This window comes from Homo sapiens, chromosome 8, assembly GCF_000001405.40.
Source record: "Homo sapiens chromosome 8, GRCh38.p14 Primary Assembly".
Lineage (NCBI taxonomy): Eukaryota > Metazoa > Chordata > Mammalia > Primates > Hominidae > Homo > Homo sapiens.
Genome location: NC_000008.11, coordinates 85,305,938 through 85,308,424, shown reverse-complemented (window position 1 = coordinate 85,308,424; position 2,487 = coordinate 85,305,938).

The window sequence follows — 2,487 nt, the reverse complement described above, 5'->3', positions numbered from 1 at the left end:
CAAGTCAGAGACATGATGACTTTGAAGCATGGCTCCTCCAGTGTTGGCTGATATTCAGAGTGTACCTGCTTTGCTGCTATCATTTCCTCCATTACTTTTCCATCCATACGCCCATGTTTTCTTTCCCTTACATAATTTTTACATTCCTTTATAGCCATATAACTCCTTATGTACACTGCTACCTTGCCTTCTTTTATATACCACATGCATCTCCCTATTGCACAAAATTGCTCCATCTATAGTTTCTTCCCTGTTCCTGAGTCTCTTCCTAGATGACCTGGCTCTCTAAGCTAGGACAAGAGCTAGAACACTAGTGATTGGGGGAAACCAGGGGAGTGGTAGTAAACATCCGAAAGTGATTTTACATGCACAAAATTAGGGAAAATAAAAAGACAGAAAGGATCCAACTTCAATGTTATAGAAAGATGACGTGAATGGTTTCTATTCATTGTAACCAAAATTCTCAGCAACGGCTATAAATGTATAAGTTCATTTACACAAAACCACAATAAGATACCATTAGATATTAACAAATAGTATGATGGTGTTGGGAAGGAAGTGGAGAAAGTGGAACCCTCATACGTTGCTGGTGGGAATTAAAAATAATTCAGCCATAGGAAAATAGTTTGGTAGTCCCTCAAAAAGTAAACACTACCATATGACTCTACAATTCCACTCCTAGCTAGCCAAAGAATTGAAAGCAGCATTATTCACAATAGCCAAAAGGGGGAAAAAACCCTACGGGTCCATCAACAGATGAATGGATAAACAAAATATGGTATGTGCATACAAAGGAATATCATAATACAGCCATAAAAAGGAATGAAGTTCTGGCACCTGCTAGCTACTACGTGGATGAACCTTGAAAACAAGCCAAATAAACAAGCCAAACACAAAAGGACAAATATTGTATGACTCCACTTATATGAAATATCTAAAATAGAGAAATTCATAGAGGCAGAAAGTAGATTAAAGGTTACCATGGGCTGAAGGAAAGGTGGAATGGGGAATAACTGCTAAAAGGTTACAGAGTTTCTGTTTGGAGTTGTAAAAGTGTTTCTTAACTTCTTACCTGTAGTTGCCTTAACTTCTTACCTGCAGTTTTTCTTATGTAAAATGGGAGAATACAAATCAGGATTGGTGTGAAGATTAACTGAAATATTTCATAAAGTGATCAGTAAATGTTAATTCTCAGCAATTAACTGAAACAGTGTGAATCAACTTCCACCATGAGAATTTGTCTGATCTGTTCAAGATTTTCCAGGCAGAGGCTGAAGATTTTATTTTCTCCTTATTCCAGAAGAACTATTAATTCCCTTCTATTAAGGCCCACTACTGAATGGGAGTTGCCTACCAACAGATCATTCCCATGAAGAGCCACAACCAGCTGTTCATTGCATCCTTGTTCTATAAGTTAGACTCAAGATGTCTGGTCAGGGATTTTTAATTATTATCACAATGCATTGTTGTATGCTTTCTATTGCTTCCATAACAGTTTACTACAAACTTAGTGGCTTAAAACAACACAACTTTATTATCTTATAGTTCTCTAGGTCAGAAGTTCTACACGGTTTGGCTCTTACTGCATGAAAAGCAATTGTCAGCAGGGCTCAGGTCCTGCCACCAAAAAGGTGGCTCTAAGATCAAATCTGTTTCTCTTTTTCAGCTTTAGAAAGGCCACTGGCATTCTTTGGGTCATGGCCCACTTCTTCCATCTTCAAAGTGCACACTCTCTCTGACCTTGCTCATGTCGTCACCATTCCTTTCTCCAATCCCAGCCAGGAAAGATTCTCTGCATTTAAAGATGTATGTGATTACATTGAGTCTACCTGGATGATCCAGGATAATCTCCCATCTCTAAGTCTATACCTTTATTCACATCTCTGAAGTTCCTGTTGCCATGTTAGGTAATATAGTCACAGGTTCTGGGGATTTGAATGTCAGCATCTTTCAGGGCCATTATTCTGTCCTGCACAATTTCAAACAGTTCAAAGATCTTTTATAAAAGGGAGGATATCCACCTTCGTGCAATGCCCATTCTGAGCATGTTTCTTGGGGCCTTTGTCCTATATCCATTCCAAAAAGCTCTCTCATCTCAGACATAATACCTAGTTTATATAACTCTTAGTGTAAGTCACAGTCTTTAATTATCAAGCCAAAACTTATCTTTACTGTCATTACCCAGGTCAACTTCTATAGACTTGTACATCATAGATGAACAGACTAATTTTTCAATGCGCCTATTACTCTTCTCTGCTAAATGATAGCAAAAGGCATCAGATTTTTTTCCAGAAGTTGTATTGAACTTCTGGAAAGCCAAGAGGAAAGAGAAGAGAGATAATACATTAATTTAAATGGTTCAAATTAATATCATAGAAGGACTGATAAATTGATAAATACTATTTTTATGCTTTGAATAGCTCATCATTGCTTTGCTAAAAATATTCATAAGAAACTCCTCTGATTCTCCACTACATCATGTATCTA